This window comes from Homo sapiens, chromosome 2, assembly GCF_000001405.40.
Source record: "Homo sapiens chromosome 2, GRCh38.p14 Primary Assembly".
NCBI lineage: Eukaryota > Metazoa > Chordata > Mammalia > Primates > Hominidae > Homo > Homo sapiens.
The window spans coordinates 71104316-71130536 of NC_000002.12; the positions used below are offsets into that span (position 1 = coordinate 71104316).

The 26221-nt window shown below is 41.1% G+C and overlaps 1 protein-coding gene across 3 annotated transcripts, besides 2 other annotated features; it reads right to left on the reverse strand.

Moving 5' to 3' along the window:
- MCEE (methylmalonyl-CoA epimerase) lies at positions 5372–25914 on the reverse strand. 3 transcript variants are annotated; one of them, XM_005264613.3, is made up of 3 exons: positions 25865–25914; positions 20053–20228; positions 5372–5807 (listed from the first exon to the last, which is right to left on the reverse strand). In XM_005264613.3, the coding sequence occupies exons 1-3, from the start codon at positions 25902–25904 to the stop codon at positions 5655–5657; spliced, it is 369 nt and encodes a 122-aa protein (XP_005264670.1). In that variant the 5' UTR covers positions 25905–25914; the 3' UTR covers positions 5372–5654. The 3 variants fall into 3 exon arrangements, with proteins under 3 accessions (XP_005264670.1, NP_115990.3, XP_047301995.1); NM_032601.4 differs by having other exon boundaries at positions 19891–20228; XM_047446039.1 differs by lacking the exon at positions 5372–5807 and adding an exon at positions 6448–6543 and having other exon boundaries at positions 19891–20228.
- Positions 13844–14344: an enhancer, noted in NCBI's record as "H3K27ac hESC enhancer chr2:71345289-71345789 (GRCh37/hg19 assembly coordinates)". NCBI's record gives its function as "activates a minimal SCP1, AML or CMV promoter by ChIP-STARR-seq in naive H9 embryonic stem cells {active_cell/tissue: H9 hESC(naive)}" and the evidence as "EXISTENCE:reporter gene assay evidence [ECO:0000049][PMID:30033119]".
- Positions 25137–25995: an enhancer, noted in NCBI's record as "H3K27ac hESC enhancer chr2:71356582-71357440 (GRCh37/hg19 assembly coordinates)". NCBI's record gives its function as "activates a minimal SCP1, AML or CMV promoter by ChIP-STARR-seq in naive H9 embryonic stem cells {active_cell/tissue: H9 hESC(naive)}" and the evidence as "EXISTENCE:reporter gene assay evidence [ECO:0000049][PMID:30033119]".

Consider the following 26221-nt stretch of genomic DNA (forward strand, 5'->3'; position numbering starts at 1 on the left):
CATGAGTCCAGCAAAGGGGCTGAGAAAAATCCTGCATCAAAGGTAACCTGAACATGGCTGAGGAAAGAATTTCTGAACTTGAGGATAAGTCAATAGAAATTTCCAAAACTAAATAGACATTTCTCAGAAGAAGACATACAAACGGCCAACTGGTATATGAAAAAACGCCCAACATCACTAATCATCAGGAAATGCAAATCAAAACCACAGAGATATCATCTCATACCTATTAAAATGGCTATTATTGGCTGGGCATGGTGGCTCACACATGTAATCCCAGCACTTTGGGAGGCTGAGGTGGGCAGATCACTTGAGGTGAGAGTTCAAGACTAGCCTGGCCAACATGGTGAAACCCTGTCCTTACTAAAAATACTAAAAATACAACAATTTACCAGGCATGGTGGTGCATGCCTATAATCCCAGCTACTCGGTCCCAGCTACTGAAGCAAGAGAATCGCTTGAACCCAGGAGGTGGAGGTGGCAGTGAGCTGAGTTATCGCTCCAGCCTGGGTGACAGATTGAGATTCTGTCTTAAAAAAAAAAAAAAAAAAAAAAAAAAAAAAAAAGCCAGGCCTAGTGGCTCACACCTGTAATCCCAGCACTTCGGGAGGCCGAGATGGCTAGATCATTTGAGGTCAGGAGTTCGAGACCAGCCTGGGCAACATAGTGAAACCCCATCTCTACTAAAATACAAAATGTAGTTGGGTGTGGTGGTACATACCTGTAATTCTAGCTACTTGGGGGTGCTGAGGCTGGAAAATCACTTGAACCTGGGAGGCAGAGGTTGCAGTGAGCCGAGGTCATGCCAGTGCACACCAGCCTGGGCGACAGAGTGAAACCCCATCCCAAAAAAAAAAGAAGGTTACTATTGAAAAGACAAAAGATAGGTTGATAAGGATGTGGAGAAAAGAAAACTCCTTGCACACTTTTGGTGAGAAGGTAAATTAGTACAGTCATTATGGCAAACAGTATAGAGGTTGCTCAAAAAATTAAAAAATAGAACTACCATATTGTCTTAGTCCATTTGTGTTGCTACAGAGGAATACTTGAGGTTGGGTAAATTATTATTTTATTTTTTGTAGAGACAGGAGTCTCACTATGTTGTGCAAGCTGGTTTTTATCTCCTGGCCTCAAGCAATCCTCCTGTCTCAGCCTCCCAAAGTACTATTACAGGTGTGAGCCACTGCGCTCTGCCGAGGCTGGATAATTTACGTAGGAAATAAGTTTATTTGGCTCAGAGTTCTGTAGGCTGTACAAGATGCAGTACTGGCATCTATATCAAACTGCTTCCACTTATGGTGGAAAGCAAATGGGAGCAGGCATGTACAGAGATCACATGGTGAGAGAGAAAGAGAGAGCAAGAGAGAGAGGAGGCAGGCATTAGGCTCTTTTTAACAACCAGTTCTCATGGTAATTAATAGAGTGAGAACTCATACATTACCTTGAGGATAGCACCAAGTCATTCCTTAGGGATCCAATGACTCAAACACCTCCCACCAGGTCCCACCTCCAACAATGGGGATCAAATATCAACATGAGACTTGGCAGGGTCAAACAAACCATATCCAAACCATGGCACGTATGATCCAGCAATTCCACTTGAGTATATACACTTGGGTATATTTCCAAACGAAATGAAACCAGTATGTCCAATAGATATCTGCACTCCCATATTTGTTGCAGCATCATTCATAATAGCCAAGACACAGAATCAACCTAAGTGTCCATCAATGCATGAATGGATAAAGAAAATGTTACACACACACACACACACACACACACACACAGTGGAATACTACTCAGCCTTAAAAAAGAAGGAAGTCCTGTCATTTGTGACAACATGGATGAATCTGGAGGATGTTATACTAAGTGAGATAAGCCAGGCACAGAAAGAAAAATACTGCATGCTCTCACTTATACAAGGACTCTAAAAAGGTTGAACCCATAGAAGCAGAGAGTAGAAATGCCAGGGACTGAAGAAGGTGGGGGGAAGAGGGAGATGTTGGTCTAAAAGTATGAAGTTTCAGTTAGGAAGAGAAGAGTCAATTAGATATATCAACAATTTCCAATATGTAAACTATAAACTGTAATTTGAAGAAAACTGTAAACAATTTTATTTAAAAAAATTAAATGACTATACTGAAAAAAAAATTTTCAGGAAAATGCAACAAGGTGTTACAAACAGACATGGCTAAGGCACTGATTGAAGTATATAAATAACAAGAATTACTATTATTTTTTGAGGTGGTTTCTTGCTCTATTACCCAGGCTGTAGTGCAGTGGTGTGATCTTGGCTCACTGCAACTTCCACCTCCCAGGTTCAAGCAATTATCCTGCCTTAGCCTCCCGAGAAGCTGCAATTACAGGAGTCCACCACCATGCCTGGCTAATTTTTTGTATTTTTAGTAGAGTCGGGATTTCACCGTGTTGGCCAGGCTGGGCTCGAACTCCTGACCTCAGGTGATCCACCCACCTCGGCTTCCCAAAGTGCTGGGATTACAGGTGTGAGCCATCATGCCCGGCCTATTGTTTTTAATGTTCAAATAATCCATATCAAGCTTTTACAATTATGTAAACATTCTGGATAATTGTTATTTATCTTTAAAAATTTTGATTAGTGAAAAGTTTCTTAATTTTAAAAAGCCCACTGATAAATTAAACTTGTTATTCAATAAACGTTTTTTGTTTGTTTTTGAGAAAGGGTCTCACCCTGTCACCCAGGCTGGAGTGCAGTGGCACAATCACAGCTCACTGCAGCCTTGACTTCCCAGGCTCAAATGATCCTCCCACCTCAGCCTCCTGAGTAGCTGAGACTACAGGTGCACACCACCATGCCCAGCTAATTTTTCTATTTTTTGTGGAGACAAGGTTTAGCCATATTGCCCAAGCTGGTCTTGAACTCCTGAGCTCAGGCAATCCACTTGCCATGGCCTCCCAAAGTGCTGGGATTACAGGAGTGAGCCACCAATCCCAGCCAATGAATTAATTTTTTTTAAAGTGTCATTGAAAAGTTTTTTTTTTTCTGCCTCTCTACTCTGCCAACCAGGATCACCATTATCCTAAAGGTTTTTGGGTTTTTGTTTGTCCCATAGTTGTTGGATAGTTGCTGGTAGCAACCAAATTACCTGTTTTCCTTGTTCAACTCTGTTGGGAGAGAGGCTGACTTCTCATAGTTCTCACCTAGATGTGGGAAAGAACATTTCCAGATGTCTCTAGAAAACCTTTCTTCATGCTTTTAGTCCACATATGAATTACATAACCATATGTAGTTATGAACCACATCATTGAACCCATCACTGGCAAGGGTGATGTAATTTCAGTCTAATCCTGGGGCTTTACCTGAGAATTTTACCTGTGTGGGAGAGGATAAGGATGGGAACCTAACCAAGTCAGAACTCTATTAAAGAAGAAATAGTGGATGGGTGCTAACACCAGCATCTACTAAACATACTGTTTTGCATTTCTTGTGATCACATTTCATTCTTCTTATGAAAGCAAAATTTTATTGATTCATAGATTAAAGCAATAAATACCTTTTATAAAAAATGATTGCTGTATTTCCAAGTTCATGCAGCTCAGGATGTATTTTACTTCTCTTGAGACTTCCTCTTTGACAACTTACAAGTTTGGGGAGGTTTTTCTGTTGTTATTGATTTCTAGTTTGATTCATTTATGGTCACATATTTTATATGTTTCACTTACTTTAAATGTGTTAGAGTTTGTTTCATAACCCAAGATATGGTCTATCTTGGTGAATGTCCCATAAATGCCCAAAAAATGTGTATTACGTATTGGCTGATAGTACTGTTCAGTTCTCCCACGCACTTGCTTTTTGTCTAGTGGGTTTATCCATTACTAAACAAGGGGTGTTGAAGTCCCCAACTGTAAACTGTAAACTTGTCCATTTTTTCCTTTTAGTTCTATCAATTCTTAGATCATATACTTTGCAGCTGTGTTATTTGGTTAATGCACACCTGTTGTCTTTTTGTGATCTGACCTCTTCATCATTATGTAATGTATTTCTTTGTCCCTGGCAATTTTCTTTTGTCCTAAAGTCTACCTTGTCTGATAGTAAGTCATCCACTCCAGCTTTCTCTGAATTACTGTTTGCAAGGTGTATCTTTTCTATCCTTTTACTCTTAGTTTATTGATATTGAGATTTACTGATAAATCATTGTTAATTTACTGATATTTTGAGTTTCTTGTAGTTAGCATTTGGTTGGGTCAGGTTTTTAAATTCACTCTCACAATCTTGGTGTGTTTAGACCATTTACATTGAATGTAATTACTGATATGTGAGGTTATAGGTCAGTCATTTTATTGTTTTGCTTTTTTCCTGTTTCCTCTTACCTGTCTTCAAGTGGGTTATTTGGGCATTCTTTAGTAGTCCATTTTGATTTATCTACATTTTTGAGTGTATCTCTTCATATAGTTTTTCAGTGGTTACAGACTGCAATACACACATGAAGTTTACTGCAGTCTACTACTATCAACATCTACCACTTGAAGTGGAATGTGGATATTTAACCACCATTTAAGTCCCTTTTACTGCCCCCACTCTGTGATGTAATTGTCTAAAATACTTCCTCTACATACACTGAGAACCACATCAATGTTGTAATTTTTACTTTAACTTTTAAATGAAAAGTATAATTGGATATTATACTTGTCTTCCATAACAAGTTCAATGTCTACATATCTACTCATTTACTCAACATCCACTCATCCATGAACTTGTTAGCCACTTTTCCATCCACTATGCATTCAATGCATCCATCTGTAATCCTTGAAATTCATCTGAAACTTGTTTCTAACATATTTGAGTCTGACTATCCTCTGAGATCTATTCTCTCTTTCCTTTCCTTTTTAATTCATTCAGATGTTGTTTTGTAAGTGTTTACATTTATTTCAAGCAGTACTCTCCCCAAATGAACCATAAGCATCTTGGCAGTGGATTTCTATTCATTTTGTATATTCCCCTAGGACCTGTTGTGGTGTTCTAGCATCTACGTGATACCTAACTCTACAAATTACTACTGATTTAAAAAAATAATTCAGACATCTACATGCCTACTAGATGACGCACCAGGTTTTCCACAAAACTTCCTATACATCTAGCCCTAGCACCCAAAACACCTGGACCCTGAGGAAACTGTGACCACGAGTTGTTTTTGAAGAGCAAAACTTCTGAGATTAAAATTCCCTAATCTTACACAGCTTGCTCTAAAAAAGTATTCCAAAACATTCTTAGAAACTTTTGCCCCAAATATTAGCCACAAAATTGTCATACTTTCATAACTCCTTTGTGTATCCATCCATCACACACATACCCTTGTACACAGCTAACACATTACATTCAATTACCCCATTGTAGAAGAGGAATAATTTATTTCTATATGATTTTAATAATGTTCCCTAAGTAATTAGTAATCAAGATTTTCTTCAAATTCAAATTAACAAATATGTTTGTTAATCTAAATAATATACATATTTATGTATTTATATATGTATATATTTTAATCTTTCTGTAATTCAGTCTTTAACTGTGAACTTTTACATGATGGAAGCAGTGAAGGACTCAATGTCATAGTACATTTTGATAGTATTTGATAGGCTTTTTCAGGTCAATTAATTTAGTTGCTTGCAAATATAAATCAAGCTTGCTCCAGTTCCACAAGGACTCCACCACAGTCTTTAGGATGGAGAAAAATCACTGGTTTTCCATGTGCTCCTATTTTGACCTCTTCACTTAGACTGCGGATCTTCTTTTTTTTCAAATCCATCACAGCTGCATTAATATTATCCACCTTAAGAAAGGGAAATAAATTGAACACATTTGAGATCATAAAAATACCAACTTATAGTATCATAAGACTTAGAAAAAACTTTGAGAGCTCATGCAGTCTATCTCCTCTGCCTGTGGGCAGGACCATTCTTAAATCATCATAAAAAATAAGCTTAAAATTTTCAGAGAAGTAAGAGAAGTTACTAAATTTTTCTAGGTAAGCAACCACAATGCTCAGAATTTTCACCATTAGTAAATGTTTCTTCTTATAATCTAAATCATGTATGATATACTTTATAATAGTTTATTCTGGCAGTACTATTAGTGAGATTGAAGACATTGCTTTTTCCTGAGAACCCTGGGTCCTCATCTATAACAGGCAAATGAGGTCTACCACATAAATTGACTACAGATTAAAATGAGGTAACAGATAAAAAGCTTTCAGTACAGTTTATGGCATAATAGGTACTTAGCAAATATGAGTGTTTCCCTGATCCCCAAAACTTGCCCTGCCAAAACACCTGGTTATTACCTTTGACATTATCAAGACACACATGAAAATCACTATTAAATTGCCATCAAAATGTTATTCCCCACCCAAAAAAATTTCAAACTTTAATGTTTTTGCAGCCTCTTCTAAGTTATTTCTATTTTCTTCATACTTATGGACACTCTAGGAGGAGCAGATGTGTCTCTCTATACTTGACGGAGAAATGATCTGCCTCTATCTTGGAAAGTCACCCACTTAGACTGGGAACCTAAGAAATGGATGAAAAGGTATGATATGAATGGCCACATTCCTAGGCAGTCATAAATCACTAGTTTAATTAAAATCACTAGTTTAATTAAAAAAAACACACAAAAGCACAGAGACTAGTTTAACACCCATGTACCTACCATTCAGATCTAATAAATATTAGTATTTATACAATTTTATTTCCAAAGAGCCAAGGATTATATGCTGAATTCTAAAACCAGTCAAACAGCTAATGAGGATACTAAATGTTACATAAATAAGCTATGATTTCTTCATATGGCACATATTCTACTTGTATTCCTGATATTTCTTTTTTAAACCTCATAGATATGTCAAAGTCACACGTGCCTAGATTCTGAACACAGCTCATTTCATGACATCTTGCACTGTAGCTGGTTAATTCTCATCTTTTTCAGAATAGAACATGCACTAGAAGCTCGTGGCAGGAACGGCTCGACCCACTTAGTGAGGAAAATTGGTCCTCACTGATGTCAGACATTGTCAATTTTATCTTATTTTTAAATTCATATCAATATTATTAAGCTTTTCTTCTGCTGCGTTAGGTGGGATTGGAGCAGCTTTTAGTCTAGGACTAATTTTCCTCACTACCAAGCCAAAGCCCTTCTGAGTACTCTTCCCAATGTTACGGAAATTACTATGACTAGTAAGAAAAAACTATCCCCACCTCTGTGTGTGGATTATTCCCTCTAATCCTTTCAAGGGGTTCTATTCTAGCTTCCTAACATGCGTGCAATACTCGAAGCTCCGATGAAGACATGAAAGGTACTACAGATCTTTAGAGTTCACTCTCTGTGCAGCTCTCCTTTCCAGGAGAGAGCTGTGAACTCTAGCACCATGGCCTCCTCAGACTTCCAACTCCTATCTCCGCAACTCAGGGAGACCACTAAGTTCCACGTGGATTCCCCCTTCCTGCACTGCAGTCTGGAAACTCTCTACAGCCAGTAAACTGGGTAATTGTAGGGCTCATCTTGTTTGTTTACCCTCTCTCAGAAATCAATTCCTGTGCTGCCTGATGTCCAATGCCAGAAATCCATTATGTCATGTATTTTGTCTAGGTTGCTTGTTTGTTTCAGGGAGGATAAACTGATCTCTTTTACACCAACTTGGCCGGAATCAGATTTCTAAATTGGCAGGTTTTTTCTGTCAGCAACTAAAAAGTGTCATTACATGTCATTCTATAATATGTCTTTTTTACTTTGATTGCTTTTAAGATTTTCTTGTCATCTTTGATTTTCAGTTTGACTATGGTGTGCTTAGGTGTGGTTTTCTTTCTTTTGAGACAGAGTCTCACTCTGTCACCCAGGCTGGAGTGTAGTAGTGCGATCTCAGCTCACTGCAACCCCTGCCTCCAGGGTTCAAGCAATTCTCCTGCCTCAGCCTCCAGAGTAGCTGGGACTACAGGCACACGCCACCATGCCCAGCTAATTTTTATATTTTTAGTAGAGAAGGGGTTTCACCATGTTGGCCAGGATGGTCTCGATCTCTTGACCTTGTGATGTGCCCGCCTCTGACTCCCAAAGTGCTGGGATTACAGGCGTGAGCCACTGCACCTGCCTTTTTTTTTTTTTTTTTTTTGAGACAGAGTCTCACTCTGTCACCTAGGCTGGAGTGCAATGGCATGATCTTGGCTTACTGCAGCCTCTGCCTCCTGGGTTCAAGCGATTCTCCTGCCTCAGCCTCCTGAGTAGCTAGGATTATAGGCATGTGCCACCATGCCTGGCTAATTTTTGTATTTTTAGTAGAGACTGGGTTTCACCATGTTGGCCAGGCTGGTCTCGAACTCCTGAACTCAAGTGATCTGCCCGACTTGGCCTCCCACAATGCTGGGATTACAGGCGTGAGCCACTGTTGCCCGGCCTGGTGTAGTTTTCTGTTTGCCCTACTTGGGGTTGCTGACTTTCTTGAAACCATAGAGTGATGTTTTACATCAGATTGGTAGTGTCCTTGTCAACTATTTTTTCAATTACTGCTTCTGTTCTATTTTCTCTCTCTTCCTTTTCTGGGACTCCAACTATATTCTGCTAGAACTTTTGACCATGTCCTACATCTGTCTTATGCTCTATTCTGTTTTCTTTTTCTTCCATATTTTTTACCTCTTGATTTTGGAATTCTAGTTTCTAGAACTGTGAAAAGAATAATTTCTGTTTTAAGCCACTAAGTTTGTGATCATTTATTATAGCAGCCCTAGAAGACAAATATAACTACCACACATCATACCGAAATTGAACAACGAAGTAGATGGATGGCTGATAGTGGGAGCTAAGTTTCTCACTGTTGGAATGAGAAGATAAAGGCTAGTGTGGTCTATGTGGTAATGGATTAGAGCTGGAGACGTCAGTATGCTCTGAGGAGTTTATGACATTTCATGAATTCTATAATATAGTTATATACAGAAATGTGTATAGATATGTGTATATATACAGTATACACACATATATATCTCCCTGTTGTCCTGGCTCAGTAGGGCAAGAACCAATGACACACCCAGTAGCAATAAGCACACTTAGAACCTAGATCTTGGCTTCTAATACCATTCTCCAGTAGTAGGAACCAGGGCTCCTAGATGAAATGTCTAATTATATGGCTAGGGCAAAGAGTAAAGAAGATGAATTTGGAGCATCTCATATAGAAGATGAATTTGGAGTATCTTACAGTGCCAGAAAAAGAAAGGAAGTGCTTAAAAAACAAACACAAAACACAAAACCAAAAATGATCGGGGTATGTCAAAGGGACATAAGAATCAACTGAAAGAGCTCCTAATGGCCAAAGCTGGAACAATCTGAGGGGAAAAAAAGTAGTATTAGATTGTAATGCAAGTCATAAAATAAATATCCACAAGTCCATACTGATATAACTCTCTATTCCTTAAGTGTGGGCCTTGCATAATGACTTCCTTCCAAAAGAGGATAGTATGGAGGAGAAAAAAAGAACAGCTTTCCAGTGGAGAAACCTGACAACACCTCCTCACCTGGGAGATCAAGGTTAATATCAACAGTAGTAAGTCATGTTGATAGTATGAATCCTTGATATGATGTGATGAAAATGACACTTTACCTCTATGGTCTTCCCAAAATCAATAACATGAGTCTAATAAGAAAAATATCACACAAATCTCAACTGAGGGACAGTTTACAAAATAACTGAACAGTAATCTTCAAAAGTGTTAAGGTCATCAGAAACAAGGAAAGGAGATCCTAGAAAAAGGTTAGAAAACAAAACAAAACAAAAAAACAAGGAAAGTTTGAGAAACTGCCACATGCAAGAGGAGCCTCAGCAGATACGATGACTAAATGTGATGTGCTAGGGGTGGAGGAGTGGGGGAAGGGAGAGCATCAGGATAAATAGCTAATGCATACAAGGCTTAATATCTAGGTAATGCATTGTCAGGTGCAGCAAACCACCATGGCATACGTTTACCTATGTAGCAAACCTGCATGTCCTACACTTGTATCCTGGAACTTAAAATAAAATTAAAAAAAAAAAATGTGATGTGAAATCCTAGATGGGATCCTGGAATAGAAAAGGGACACTGGGTAAGAACTAAAGGAATCAGAATAAAGTACAGACTTTAGCTAATAACAATGAATTGGTATTGGTTCACTAATTGTGATAAATGTATCAAACTATTATAAGATGTTCATAATTTTTTTAAAGCATCTGATGAGATTAACCACTGTTTATAATGAGTGGATCTTGTTTTTATCCTGATTAGAGCAAATCAACTATAAAAAGACATTTGTAAATCAATCTGGGAAATTTAATTTATGAGCTGTGTATAGATGGTGCCAAAAGATTTCCCTTTAATTTTGACTGAAGTGCCAGAAAATAAAGATGATGTCACCGTGGTTATTTTTGTATTTCTTAGAGACCCAAACTGAGTAAGGGTAAAATGACATGTTGTTCATTTAAAATAATTTAAGGAAAAAAGAAAAAAAGATGACGTGTAGCAAGAGCTTGAAAACTGTTGAACCTGGGTGATGAAAGTACTGACATGATTTTTTTTCTACTTCTCATATGTTTGAACAATTTCATGATATAATCATGACTTTTTCCATAGTGCCCTTTTGATAACTCCTATGCTACATGTGATTATGAATATTTTCATTTATGGAACATTCTATCCAAGTACAAGTATCTATAATTTTGACATTGCAACCCAATGTTTTAGTATACTCCTTCTTCAATATCCCTCAATCATGAATTACTTCAAGCCTGGGCACAGTGTTTCATGCTGGGCACAGTGGTTCATGCCTATAATCCCAGCACTTAGGTGGGGCCAAGGTGGGAGGATGGCTTGAACCCAGGAGTTTGACACCAGCCTGGGAAACATAGTGAAGCCCCATCTCTATAATCAATCAATCAGTCAGGTGTGGTGGCACACACCTGTAGTCTTAGCTACTCAGGAGGCTGAGATGAGAGGACTGCTTGAGCCCAGGTTGAGGCTGAAGTGAGCTATGATGGTGCCACTGCACTCCAGCCTGGGTAACAGAGTGAGACCCTGTCTCAAAAAACTAATAAATGTCTAAATGACATTGCACTAGCATCTACTTCTACTTCTGTTACTATTTCTATCACTAACTTCAATTTTAAAGCTCTTTTACCATATTTATCCTTCTGTTAGTGTTGCTATACATTTTATGATTCTTTTAAGAGTACTCCTAATGCTTTGTTTGGCAGTAATAAAAAGAATAAAATTAAAATGTCTTAATTTTCTGAATTGAAAGTAGATGCAATAGTTGTAAGAAATGCAGAGCAATTTGATTTGGGAAATTAAATCAGTCCCTCTAAGTAAGGATGAAAGTAACACAGTCAGTAATAACCCATCTTTTAAAAAAAGGGAGGTTTTCAAACACTGCATGTTCTCACTCATAAGTGGGAGTTGAAGAATGAGAACACATGGACACAGGGTGGGGAGTCATATACCGGGGCCTGTTGGGGGGTGGGGGAAAGGGGGGGATAACAGTAAGAGAAATATCTAATGTAGACGACGGGTTAATGGGTGCAGCAAACCACTATGGCACATGTGTACCTTATGTAACAAACCTGCACGTTCTGCACATGTATCCCAGAACTTAAAGTATTAATTTAAAAAAGGGGGGGGTTATGGTTTTTTAAAACTGCTTTTATAGTCCTTCAAACAATTACAGAGTGTACCATATAGTTCTGGAAGACTTTGCATACCACTAGTGAAAATCGGGGCTATTTACTTTTCTTTTTTTTGAGATGGAGTCTTGCTCTGTGGCCCAGGCTGGAGTGCAGTGGTGCAATCTCAGCTCACTGCAAGCTCTGCCTCCCGGGTTCATGCCGTTCTCCTGCCTCAGCCTCCCAAGTAGTAGGTGCCCGCCACCACGCCTGGCTAATTTTTTTGTATTTTTAGTAGAGACAGGGTTTCACCGTGTTAGCCAGGATGGTCTCGATCTCCTGACCTCGTGATCCACCCGCCTCGGCCTCCCAAAAGTGCTGGGATTACAGGCGTGAGCCACCATGCCCGGCCCTTTACTTTTCACTTCAACTTCTTACCAGCTATTTCCTTTTTCTTTCTTTCTTTCTTTTTTTTGGTATTTATCTGTATCTGAGAGTTTATCTTGATTCTGCCCCTTCACCTGCAAATTAAGAGTGACAATAACCCGAATAAAAAATGTTTGGATTGTCACAATCAGAATTCAAAACTTTTTTTTTTTTTTTTTGAGATGGAGTCTCGCTCTGTTACCAGGCTAGAATGCAGTGGTGCGATCTCAGTTCACTGCAACCTCCGCCTCCCAGGCTCAAGGAATTCTCCTGCCTCGGCCTCCCGAGTAACTGGGATTACAGGCGCGTGCCACCATGGCTAATTTTTATATTTTTAGTAGAGATAGGTTTCACCATGTTGGCCAAGCTGGTCTCCAACTCCTGACCTCAGGTGATCCTGCCTCGGCCTCCCAAAGTGCTGGGATTACAGGCGTGAGCCACTGCACCCGGCCAGAATTCACAATCTTCAGGTACATCTCATAACCTCTTTGGTCCTCAGCTTCCCCATCTGAAAATGGCAATACAATCTTGTTTATTTCAAGCCAAGTAATTGGGCTAAATAACTCTAACCTTAAGGTATGTAATCCTCAATGACCAAATTTTATGAAAAAGTAATAATGTACCCCTCTTAACTATACATGACATTTGGACAGATTTAACAAACATAAGCTTTAATTTTATATACAGTTGTAATGGTGCTGATATAATGAATGACTTCAATCCTCAAATTGGTATAAATCCATGAAAGTTAAAGTGAAAAGTCTGGATTAAGTATTTGTTGTATTTGTTCCAACTGTATCTCCTCAAAAGCTAAAAGCTGAGTGAATTATGCAAGCCTAACACTGTCTCACTTTACATAGGGTTCAGATGGTTCCAGTCTTCTTGGATTTATTTCAGAAGAGCACATGTTACCTAAGCTTCCACAATGACTATATAGTCTAGTGGGGGCTATGTGGAGTATCCATCAAATGCTTGTCTCTGCTGAAATTTTCACAGTGGATAGTAAAATATTTTTTTAATTCCCTAGTTTATTGTGAAAAGCCAAAATGAGAATAAAATTTTTTAAAAAGGAGAATATTTTCCTTTCTTGATTGAAGAACAAACATTACCCAGTATGTAGGAAATGAGTTACCTCACTAGCCTGTTACTTTGAAGTTATAAATTTTTTCTTTCCTAAGGAATATATGCTGTCAAAAAAGATCTGCAAAACATATAAAAGCACAAACAAGAAAATGAGTCATCTATTGTCTAATCACTCAGAAAATAAAACTGCTATAATTGCTGCATTTCTCTACCTTTTGTCTTAGTTTTTAAATACTATTAATATTTTTCTCATGTGCTTTTCCCCAGCAGCCTGCAACAGTAATTTCAAGATTACCTTGAAATCAAATCCAACATCTCTGTCTGCCACTGGGAAGCCAGGCTCCCATGATCCTTACTACCTACTCATCTAACCAGCCCCTTCTCTGTCACCGGTCCCTATGATTCTGCAGCCCCTCCCTCAGCCTCAGCACTGCACTCATCACCCTCCATGTGCTCCAACCGTGGGGCTGCCCTCTTCATCCCATCTGAGCTCCCACTCACAATTCCAGGCCACACCACCCCTGCACAGAGGCCTGTTACCCCATGTGAGCTGGGCCACTCCCTGTGCTGCAGTCCTCCTTGCCTTTTGTGGGATTCAACATCCCGCCCGGAAGCGTCCCAGTGGATACACATCCTCCTCACCCTGTGTGGCTCTGACTCCCCATACCTGCCCCCTACCCCATGTGAACATCTGCCTCACCCTTCTCAGGCCCTGCTCCCATACCAGGCCACTCCCTGCGAGGACACCCAGCTTATCCCACCTGGGCTTCAACTCCCCACATTAGTCACCATTTTCCCCTGCAACGATGCACTCCCCACAGGACCAGCCCTGGCCCTCCATGCTGGGCGTGCCCTCCCCACAGTGTCGGTGCCCCTACCCTGCTCTGGCTCTCCCACTCCTTGCTGCCGCTGCCCCTCAGGTGGACGCTCTTCTCAACATCCTTGGGCTCCAGCTCCCTGCTCTGAGCTGTGTCTCAGTCCATTCGGGCTGTTAGAACAAAATACCTAAACTAGGTGGCTCAGAAAAAACAGAAATTTGTCAGTTTGAGAGCCTGGGAAGTCCAAGATCTAAGTGCTGGCAGATTCAACATCTGGTGGGGGATTGGTGGTTCACAGACAGCACCTTCTCACTGTCCTCCCGTAGCGGAAGGGGCAACGGGTGTCTCTGAGGCCTCTTTTATAAGGACACTAATCCCATTCATGAGGGATAGGCCTACTGCTCATGAATGAGGCCTCAGGAATCATCTCCCTAAGGCCCCACCTCCTAACACCATCACTTTGGGGTTATGATTTCGACATATGAATTTTGAGGGGACATAAGCATTTAGTTCTAAGCTGGCCTCCCATGCTGATGCCCTCCTCACTCTGACACTGCAAGTCAAGATGCTCCCTTGGGCACAAACGCACAAACCCTGCTCAGACTCGGACACCTTGCACTGGAACTCCCCATGCATGGGCACTCAGTCTCTGGCTTCCCCGGGGCAGGCAGCTCTCACTCATGGATGCCCTCCTCACCTTGCCAGGATCCCAACACCCTGCTTTAGGCCAGTCTGGTTCTCCCCATCAACAAAAATGACTCTTCTGCTCTGTCCTACCTGAAGTCTTCAGGAAGGGAAGGAATGGGGAGGAGTCATAGGTACTCAATACTGTTTATTTCCTTTTTTGTTTTTGGTAAGTAGAAAGAAATACAGTCATGTGTCACTTGATGGGTACGAGTCCTGAGAAATGCATCACTAGGCAATTTCATTGTTGTGCGAACATCACCACACCTGGATGGTGGCGCCTACTACACACCTAGGCTACAGGGTACAGTCTATTCCTCCTTGGCTACAAACCTGTACAGCATGTTACTGAAAACTGTAGGCAAGTGTAACACAATGGTGTCTAAACACATTTCAACACAGACAAAGTACAATAAAAATACAGTGTATAACCTTATGGGACCTCATGTGGACTCATCACTGACTGAAACATTGTTATGCGGTGTGGGACTGTATTTGGCTAAACTAGTAAGGTATGCTAATCATCCCTTATATTTCCTCTTTGTTGCAACTAGCACTATTACTTCTGTTTATCCTTTTGTACTTTGTAGGCTGTGTTTTAGTCAGTCACCTTTAATCCTCTCTGGAAAATGAGGAGCATGTGTGAATAAATGAAGCAAGCAGGCAAGCTCTGGGTAGACAGGAACTTTCTGCTTGTTCAGCCACATATCCCCAGCATCTTGTACAGTGAAGGACAGAGTGATACCAAAAATACTTAACAATCAGGAAAATACAAAGATACTAATCAGATAGAATTGTGCGGCTGAGCATGGTGGTTCATGCCTGTAATCCCAGTGCTTTGGAAGGGCTGAGGTAGAAGGATTGCTTGAGCCAAGAGTTTGAGACCAGCCTGGGCAATATAGCAAGAATTTGTCTCTTAAAAAAAAAAAAATTAGCTGGGCATGATGGTGTGCTGCCTGTAGCCGTAGCTACTCAGGAGGCTGAGGTAGGAGGGTCGCTTGAGCTCAGGAGTTCCAGGTTGCAGTGCGTAATGATTGTGCCACTGCACTCCAGCATGGGTGACACAGTGAGACCCTCTCTCTGAAGGAAAAAAATTGTAGAGGGAGAAGGGTGTCTGAAGGGTCCCAGAAAAGGGTCCTTCTGGAAAAGGAATGTTACTCAGGTGTTACAGAGCAGCAGCTGTTTACCAACCAACACGGAAGCATTTAAATATTTTTACAAACTCAATACAAATTTGAGTAAGTATTTCTGGTGGCCCTTAAAGTCTTCACTGTGACACACTGTGCTGTCTGGCTAAGTTCTCCAGAGAAAGCACGGCCAGCTTTGTCTCCTCAAGCAGAGGCACGCAGAAGGCAGGGAAGGTGACCCCCCTCTTGCCATCGCAGGCAGCAGTTAGGAGCACAAACACAAGCTGTGCCAGAAAACAGTGGGTGATTCAGTCCATACTTGAGCAAGAGAAGAGATGGGACAAGATGCCCTCTAAAATTCCTCTAGTGAGAGGCAAAGACACACAAGAAATATGAGTAAACCTCACAAGAAAAAGTAGAAACCAACTCAACCTCGACAGAAAAATGCTAATTAACTATTGAGATCGTAATCCACATGTGAGAAAGGAACATTTCGTCAAGTGAGTCAACAAAAACCATGGAGCATGCACCAACAGATATATGCTAAGTCAGAGGTTTTATAAGATCCTGGTGAAAAAGGACAGAAAGTAGCCCTGTGATTACAGAGGGGAAAGCCAATTCTCTGATGAGTGGTTCAACATTTTTTTTTTTTTTCCTGAGATGGAGTCTTGCTCTGTTGCCCAGGCTGGAGTGAAGTGGCATGATCTTGGCTCACTGCAACCTCTGCCTCCCAGGTTCAAACGATTCTCCTGCCTCAGCCTCCCAAGTAGCTGGAATTACAGGTGTGCGCCGCCACGTCCAGCTAATTTTTGTATTTTAGTAGAGATGGGGTTTCACCGTGTTGCCCAGGCTGGTCTCAAACTCCTGAGCTCAGGCAATCTGCCCACCTCGGCCTCCCAAAGTGCTGTAATAAGCATGAGCCACCATGCCCAGGTGACACACCACTTTTTAAAAATCACCAAGCGTGGCATCCATTGATGGCCTCCAGTACCTTTCTCCTTTTCCTCCTTTTAATTACAGCAACCCCCAAGCTTCAGCAGGGCACATAACTGCCTAGCTAGAGACTACATTCCCCAGCCTCCCTTGCAGAGAAGTGTGTCATGTAACTAAGCTTGGGCCAATGGGATAAGGACAGAAGTGATCCTAGAGCATCTCCTTAAAGCCACTTGCCAGGTATTCCCACTCCACCTTCCCTTCCCTTCCCTCTGGCTGGCAAATGGTGATGCCTGGAGCAACCTTGTAAGTCATGTGTCATGGACAGCAGAGCTGCCCATCAGCCTGGGATAGCTAATATTAGACTGAAAACAGAAAAATAAAATCTTGTTAAGCCACTTAATTTTTTTGTGGAGGGCAGAGAATGATGATGGGGGTATTATACTAAAATAGCACCTAACTAACCACTGTTCACACCTTCTCCTCTTACCTACCTTCATTTTATATCCAATACATTTGCATGTCCCCCTTATAATCTCTGCTTTTGAATCTGCCATTACTGAACTTCCACTATTCCTTACTTAACTGAACTAAATCACATAGCTGAACTCCTTTGAAAGCATGGGCTCTCTTGATGGAATACTGATAGTGCAGTGTGGGAGAGGGGGGAGTGGATTCAAAGGTCCTGCTTCTCATCCTGGGGGGTGGGGTAGGGCTTAGACAAACACTCAGGTCCACTGACAAAGACCTGCAGCCAAAAGTAACTCCCTAAAAATAAAATAAAGGCTAATATTAGGACTTGTTTAGTTCCCTGCTTAAGGTCTTATAGCTTCCCCACCGCAAATTTAAAACTCAGTTAATATAATGAAGGCAACTGGCATCATGGGTAAGAGTGCAGACCCTGGAATCAGAACCAATCTGGGATTCAGCCCCATACCTGCTATTGATATGACCATGGGCAAATTAACTACTCTGTCTCAGTTTCCTTTCCTGTCAAATGGGGATAATAGGGCCCTCACAGGGTAGCTATGAAAATTCAAGAAAATAGTATGTGTTGAGTTACTTTGTAGACATACTACTAGAGGACTCACTAAATGTTAGTTCTTTTTTTTGAGACAGGGTCTCGCTCTTTCATTCAGGCTAGAGTGCAGTGGTGTGATCACGGCTCACTACAACCTCCACCTCAGCACTTCCTGGGCTCAAGTGATGCTCCCACATCAGCCTCCCAAGTAGCTGGGACTACAGGTGCATACCACCACACCTGACTAGCTTTTTGTATTTTTAGTAGAGACACGGTTTTGCCATTTGGCCCAGGCTGGTCTCAAACTCCTGGGCTCGAGCAATCTGCCCACCTTGGCCTCCCAAAGTGCTAAGATTACAGGTGTGTATTAGTCCATTTTCACGCTATTGATAAAGACATACCCGAGACTGGGCAATTTACAAAAGAAACAGGTTTAATGATTTACAGTTCCACGTGGCTGGGGAGGCCTCACACTCATGGCAGAAGGCAAGGAGGAGCAAGTCACATCTTACATGGATGGCAGCAGGCAAAGAGAGACAGATTGGGCAGGGAAAATCCCCCTTATAAAACTGTCAGATCTTGTGAAACTTATTCACTATCACAAGAACAGCACGGAAAGACCTGCCCCCATGATTCAATTACCTCCCACTGGTCCCTCCCACAACATGTGGGAATTCAAGATGAGATTTGGGTGGGGACACAGCCAAGCCATGTCGAGGCATAAGCCACCACACCCAGCCACTAAGTGTTAGCTGTTATGATAACTCTATGCCTTTCCACATGCAATTCCCTCTGCCTGAAATAACTTTCTCCTTTTGTTCACCTAGGGAATTCCTTCACATTCATTGTAACTTATGCTCTGTGAGGCCTTCCCAGCAACTCAATCTGCCAGGAGCAATCAATCTCCTTCATCTGTGCTACTGCAAAGTCACATATATCAATTCTACTTATCATAGTATATTGCACTTGGGTGTTTAAATTTCTGACCCTCCTCACTATGGACATGACTCATGTCTTATTCACTGCTAAATCCCAAGTACTTGGCAGAATACACATTATAGGGTCTCATACATGTTTGCAATAATGAACTGAATACATCCTTGAATTCACTCTAGAATCAAATGACCTCTCCTCTGTATTAGAAATTTGGCCTAACAGGCCAGGCAAGGTGGCTCACGCCTATAATCCCAGCACTTTGAGAGGCTGACGTAGGTGAATCACCTGAGGTCAGGAGTTTGAGACCAGCCTGACCAACATGGTGAAACCTCATCTCTACTAAAAATACACAATTAGCCGGGCATGGTGGCGCATGCCTGTAATCCCAGCTACCTGGTAGGCTGAGGCAGGAGAATCACTTGAACCCAGGAGGCAGAGGTTGCAGTGAGCCGAGATCACGCCACACTGCACTTCAGCCTGGGCGACAGAGTAAGACTCCGTCTCAAAAAAAAAAAAAAAAAGAAAAGAAAAAGAAATTTGGCTTAACAATTATGTCATTCTTTCTATAAAAAGAATTGTCCTAGCAAATTAAATCGATGCATAATTGTCATTGCTGATATTCTAAAAGGCAGTTATCTGAACATGAACATCTATAGAAATGTTCTCTAATGGACTTTTCTTGTCTAACATTTCTTCACATTCCTTTAAAAATTGTTGGCAGGTGCAATTCAGAAGATCTTAAAAATTACAGTAATTGAAAATGTATTGACTTTGTAATAACGAAGAAGTTATTAGCATTTTAAAGAGAGAAAAGAGTTATAAAGAATACTTAGCATGTACACTGAAAGCTTTAAAGTCTTTTCATTTGTTTCTCCTAATTGCCTTATGACAGTGAAAACAGCTGTATTCCTGTTACATGGGAGGTCAAACATGATCAATTCTAAAGCAGACTCTACATTGTGGCTAACTTTGGTGGCACTTACAGTGGTCACTGAATCCAGACTTCAAAAAAATACATTAATATTATATGTTAGAATTTTCTAAAGGGAAAAGAAATGTATGTAAGGATCCACCTTTGAGGAGGATGAATATTATCATTCTCCTTAAAGAACTTTACAAAAGTTTCTAATGACAGTGACCATAAATAGACTTAAAAAGTAGAAGACATTTTTTAAAAGAGAGATTTAAAATACCAGGCATTAAAATAATTAAAATACCTCGATGCAGATGTGATGCATTCCTCCAGCCTTGTTTTTCTGCAGAAAACCTGCAATTGGACTGTCACGTCCCAATGGATGAAGCAGTTCCATCTTGGTATTTCCCAGGTTGACAAAAACAACAGATACTCCATGTTCAGGAAGAGGGACCGCTTCACTTACCTGGGCCCCCAGAATATTCTTATAAAATGCTGCAGCCTTTTCCAAATCTGGCACTGCTATGGCTACATGGTTGAGTCGACCCAGGTTCCACACAGAACCTGTCACTTGATCCAAGGGCTGTGATGTGGAAGAAGCTCTTACTGTTGGAATGGGAGCTTGAAGTCTGGAAAAAAGCCCTGAAAAATTGAACAGCCATTGATATCCTTCTTTTGAGAATTAACGCACTTCTAAATTGAATTTTAAAAACTAAACAAATAATGCATGCAAAAATTCATTATTTATATATCTGTTCTTTTTAATTATTGAAATGAAACCAGGAGATAAATGGAAAAACTTACATCAGAATTACTCTGCTCTGCCCATTCAAATAACTGACTGGAATAAAAAAGCTAATTCTGAGCTGCAGTTAGATTTAAAACACAGGATAACATTTTTTCATAACAATTCATATTTACTGGTAACACTTAAATAGTGGCATATTAAGCATTACTTGCTATTCTCTGCATTTCACAATGAAACAACATATATTTAATAAGAGCAAGCAATTTCTCTACCTGTACCCAATTTTTTGTCTTATATTTTGTAATAAGTTCATTAAAGGTATAAATATACATTAAAAGAGTACATACAGTACTCTTTAATGCTCTGTTGCCCAGGCCGGAGTGCTGGAGTGCAACAGTGCGATCTCAGCTCACTGCAACCTCTGCCTCCTGGGTTCAAGTGATTCACTGGCCTCAGCCTCCCAAGTAGCTGGGATTACAGGTGCCTGTCACCATACCCAGCTAATTTGTGTGTGTGTGTATGTGTGTGTATATATATAAATATATATATATATATATATATATTTTTTTTTTTTTTTGAGACGGAGTCTCACTATTTCGCCCAGAATGGAGTGAAGTGGCGCGATCTGGGCTCACTGCAACCTCCGCCCCCCAGGTTCAAGCGATTCTCCTGCCTCAGCCTCCCGAGTAGCTGGAATTACAGGCACCTGCCACATGCCCGGCTAATGTTGTATTTTTAGTAGAGATGGGGTTTCGCCTCATTGGCCAGGCTGGTCTCGAACTCCTGACCTCAGGTGATCCACCCACCTCGGCCTCCCAAAGTGATAGGATTAGAGATGTGAGCCACTGTGCCCACCCTAATTTTTGCATTTTTAGTAGAGATGGGGTTTCACCATGTTGGTCAGGCTGGTCTCAAACTCCTGACCTCAGGTGATCCACCCACCTCGGTCTCCCAAAGTGCTGGGATTATAGGTGTAAGCCACCATTCCAGTCAGTTTTTAGCATTTTTAAAATTCACTGTCGCTGTGTCCTCATCAGATAGTTTCTTGATCTCCACAGATAACTCTGCATTCCATTCATTTAGCAAACAGTCATTGCATGTCATTAACAACAAGAATGGCCTGAATTTACTGTGCACCTACTGTCTGGCACTGTATTTATTTTTTTACACCAACTATCTAATATTCACAACAAACCAAGTTAGAAACTTAGTAAGTTTCATTGTTATCATGAAATCCAAGTGGATTACAACCGAGTACACATATACATAAATGTACAATTGAAACTAAATTGCAAAAAAAGAATACCTTCCACCTCAGCCTCCTGAGTAGCTGGAACCATAGGCATGAGCCACCATGCCTGGCTAATTTTTGTACGTTTTGTAGAGATGGGGTTTCACCATGTTGCCCAGGCTGCCCATGTTGCTCCTGGGCTCAAGCGATCCTCCGACCTTGGCTTCCCAAAGTGCTGGGACTACAGATGTGAGTCACAGCACTAGGCCAGTGAAAATGTTTTGAAATAGACAAATGTGATAGTTGCACTAACCCAGTGAATGTAATAATTACTGTTAAACTGTACTTTATTATTTATTTATTTTGAGACGAACTCTTGCTCTTTCACCCAGGCTGGAGTGCAATAGTGTGATCTCGGCTCACTGCAACCTCCACCTTCCGGGTTCAAGCGATTCTCCTGCCTCAGTCTCCTGAATAATTGGTATTACAGGCGCATGCCACCGCACCCGGCTAATTTTTGTATTTTTAGTAGAGACAGGGTTTCACCATGTTGGCCAGGCTGGTCTCGAACTCCTGACCTCGTGATCCGCCCACCTCGGCCTCCCAAAGTGCCGGGATCACAGGCATGAGCTACTGTGCCCAGCCTAAACTGTACATTTTTAAAGGGTTTTGTTATGTACATTTTACCAAAAAAAAAAAAAAAAAAAAAAAAGATCCAACAATAAAAATCCAAAGGTGAAATTGTGTAGACCAAGCAAACTGGGTAGAGAACACTGAATAAAGGAGTTAAAAAGAGACAGAGCTTTATATTTAATAAAAATGTGTTCCTGAAAAGTTTGTTGTGAATTGAACTCTTAATTATTATATTTCTCCTTTGACTTGTAGAAACTTTTTTCCAGCTTGAGGTATGATGACTAATAGAAACGGTGTATCTTTAAGGTATACAATGTGATGTTTTAATAAATGCATAAATTATGAAAATGATTACCAACACTGAAGCTACCTTTTTAAAGCTATTTTTATTTCAGGTTGCCCTCCAACTAGCAGGAATTCACAGCTCTTTAGTTTTAGATTTCTCTGCCTCCCATTTCAGAATAGTGCAGCAGAATTGCATTATTTTGAATTCTGCAATGTTTAATTTGTGATTATTCCAATAAAGGTTGCTTTGCATGAATATACTACAGTGTAAAACCATGTGCAAATAAATGCATAAGATATTTAAAAACAGAAGTGTTAATAAAAAACGCATGTAAAGATGAATACAGATTAAAGAAACTATTTTCACATGTCAGGAAGCTGGTATACAAGTAAAAGATCAAAATCGGATGTGTATGTTAACTCTCATTCCAATCTTCCTTTCAATATCAATTCTCGTTAATCACTTTTAGTGTCCTGACTTAAAAACAACATTGCATTTCTTTCAGTTCAGATTTTGCATTTATTTCAGATCACACTTTTTAGACACTGTCCCTGAATACATAAAGGTTTAGCTGCAAGGATCTATACTCAAATGCATTAAGAGTACTTACTATTTAAAGACATTAGATGTTAAATTTGTATAAAAAGTACTATAAAAGTGAATAATCACTTGTAATAGGTTTTTTAACAGCTTTATCTCTTAATAGTTTTTAAACAGACTTAAAATTTATATACCATAAAGTTCACCCATTTGAAGTGTACAATTCATTTCTTTGCATCTTTGCAAAGTTGTGCGACCTTCACATAATCTAATTTTAGAACACGTAATAAGTTTGTTTGTTTTTTTGAAACGAGTCTGGCTCTGTAGCCCAGGCTGGAGTGCAATGGCGCAATCTTGGCTCAGTGCAACCTCTGCTTCCCAGGTTCAAGCAATTCTCCTGCCTCAGCCTCCGGAGTAGCCGGGATTACAGGAGCGCGCCACCACGCCCGGTTAATTTTTGTATTTTTAGTAGAGATGGGTTTTGCCATGTTGGCCAGGCTGGTCTTGAACTCCTGACCTCAGGTGATCCACCTTCCTCAGCCTCCCAAAGTGCTGGGATTACAGGCGTGAGTCACCGCGCCTGGCCGAACATAAGTCTGAATTTTCACTGAATATCTGGTTTGAGGAAACATACGTATTTAGAAAGTCATTCATTAGAAGTGCTTTCAAGTTAGTCTGGTAAGTTTTCTCTTAAACATTTGACCAGTTAATTTCACAGCACCATATATATATCTTCAACTTGTTTCAAACTATGATCAATTTTTTTTATTCATTACAGTAAGTAAACAGATTACATTTCTGTTAGCCCATTTACAGACGATTAATGAAAGTAAACCTATGCAGTCATGTAAGTTGGTCATTCTTGTCTCCCACCTAACAGGTTCAATTTCCATTTTCAGAACTTTTCTACGTGTTCACTCTGATTTTTCTGTGCTTTTGTTTTTCGGCGAAGTTTTATGTTCCTTAAAAGAGGGGCCATAACATAGAATTACCATGTAATCCAGCAATTCCACTTATGAGTATACACACCCCCAAAGAAGCGGGAATTCAGAAGTATTTGTACACCCACGTTCATAGCTGTATTACAATAGCCAAAAGGTGGGGATAACCCAAATGTCTATCAAGAGACGAATGGATAAACAAAATGTGGTATACACACACAATGGAATATTATTCAGTCTTAAAAAGCAATTTTTTTTTTTTTTCTGAGACGGAGTTTCGCTTTGGTTGCCCAGGCTGGAGTGCAGTGGCGCGATCTTGGCTCACGCCAACCTCCGCCTCCCGGGTTCAAGCGATTATCCTGCCTCAGCCTCCCGAGTACCCGGGATAACAGGCGTGTGCTACCACGCCCGGCTAATTTTTGTATTTTTAGTAGAGACGGGCTCACGCCTGTAATCCCAGCACTTTGGGAAGACGAGGTGGGCAGATCACCTGAGGCCAGGAGTTCCAAACCAGCCTGGCCAACATGGTGAAATCTCGTCTCCACTAAAAATGCAAAAAATTAGCCGGGCGTGGTGCCGGGTGCCTGTAATCCCAGCTACTCGGGAGGCTGAGGCGGAAGAATGGCTTGAACCTGGGAGGCAGAGGTTGCAGTGAGCTAACGCCACTGCACTCCAGCCTGGGCGACAGAGTGAGACTCTGTCTCAAAAAAAAAAAAAAAGGTAAATTTTACTTTATGTATATTCAACCACACACACACACACACAAGTGGAGACATTAAGCTTCAAGTATCTTAATAGGACAAATCAAAGGCAATCTTTGGAATACACTGTCTTCATTTTTCCTTTATGCCAAGATGTGTATGTAAGTACAAAACAAACATGCACCTTTATCTGTATTGAGTTCTTGCAGTATGTATATGACCTGTTGGAAGTCATACTTTTTCCCAAACTGTCAATCATTAAAGTGTGCAGTTCTAAAAATAGACATAAAAATGCCTTTTCCCAAATATTCATTTATTTATAGTTTTACGTTCCTATCTTGTGTATCACCTAAGAGGAAGGTATGCCTTACGGTTAAGAATGTGGGCTCTGGTGCTAGAAGGATTTATCACGAATGTCCCGGAGTAACTCTGGGGCATTACCACTTGGCACCTTCTTCCTAATAGGGAATCTCAGATTAAGGGAAATACTTGCCCTCTCATAAAAGGAGGAAGAGAAAAAAAAAAAGGATAAAAAGAGGAGAAAGTGAGTCAGAAAACGTGACAATTATTACAGTTATTTCTGTCATAACTGATTCTATGTACATATTTTAAAAAAAATGAAGGGGGAGAGAACTCAAGAAAGTTTCCAAATCCACATGCTTTTATCTGTGTACGCGATAAATATATTAGTGCACGTGGAAAAACCACTCCTTTTGTATTCTTTACACCACTGACCTTTGAGTGTTCCCAACAGAAAGCTGGTCACGCTTGGAGTTCGGCCGACTAGTAGTTGTTGTTTTTACGGAACGTGCTCTCCTTTCTGGTTTCTCCCCAGTCTCTTTATTGGTGCGCGGTAAAATAACTTACCGATCCGCTTCTATTTACTTCTGTCCCTGCCCTGCCTGACCTGCCGGGCAAGTTCCCTCGACTCTCCCGCCCACATACTGGAAGGTGCAGAGCCCAAGGCGCACAGCTCTCGGATGGAAATGGGACTCATGCACAAGGCAATCCCCGCTACTAAGCGGTGGCGCTTCTGGAAGGCACCCTCTGCCTAAGTGACAGCAGCTGCTGTGGAACGCGCCCCCGGGGGAGGACATTAGATCAAGGTGCTTTGGCCACGCCGAGGCCTCCTCCGCCCCCGACCGCCGTTCCCACGCTCCCTGTCCCATGGCGAAGGTCGCCGGTGCCCGGTATTCACCTACGGCATTCGCGGCTGCAGCCTTCAGCACCCGCGCCATTTTGGAAAGCAACCCGCCACGTCAAGACTAGCCACGGAGGTTGAGAGACGCGCGGCAGAGGGCGGGGCGGGAGGCAGAGGGGGCGGGGACAGAAAGGTCAGGGGCGTGGCGAAGGTCGCTGCTTTCCTGCTACAACGGGCCTACTTTAGCTAAAACAGAAACGTAAGGCCAGGACGGGTCACCCTTTGTGGGCCCCTGAAAAATACAAAACGAAGTTTGGAGAGAGTTGAAAGGCGTTTGGGCTGACCATGGAGATTTTTGTTTCCCACCCTCCTGCGAAAGCGCTCGCGCTGCCATTGGCTCTGGCTGAGGGCGAG

What these genes read in the sequence shown, in the direction of transcription:
- MCEE (NM_032601.4), bottom strand. Translation starts at nt 25,904, where the DNA reads ATGGCGCGGGTGCTGAAGGCTGCAGCCGCGAATGCCGTAG. An exon ending in TGCAGCCGCGAATGCCGTAG is followed by an intron (nt 20,229 to 25,864) that starts GTGAATACCGGG and finishes TCAATTTTTCAG; the next exon opens with GGCTTTTTTCCAGACTTCAA. An exon ending in TGCATCACATCTGCATCGAG is followed by an intron (nt 5,808 to 19,890) that starts GTATTTTAATTA and finishes CCCTTTCTTAAG; the next exon opens with GTGGATAATATTAATGCAGC.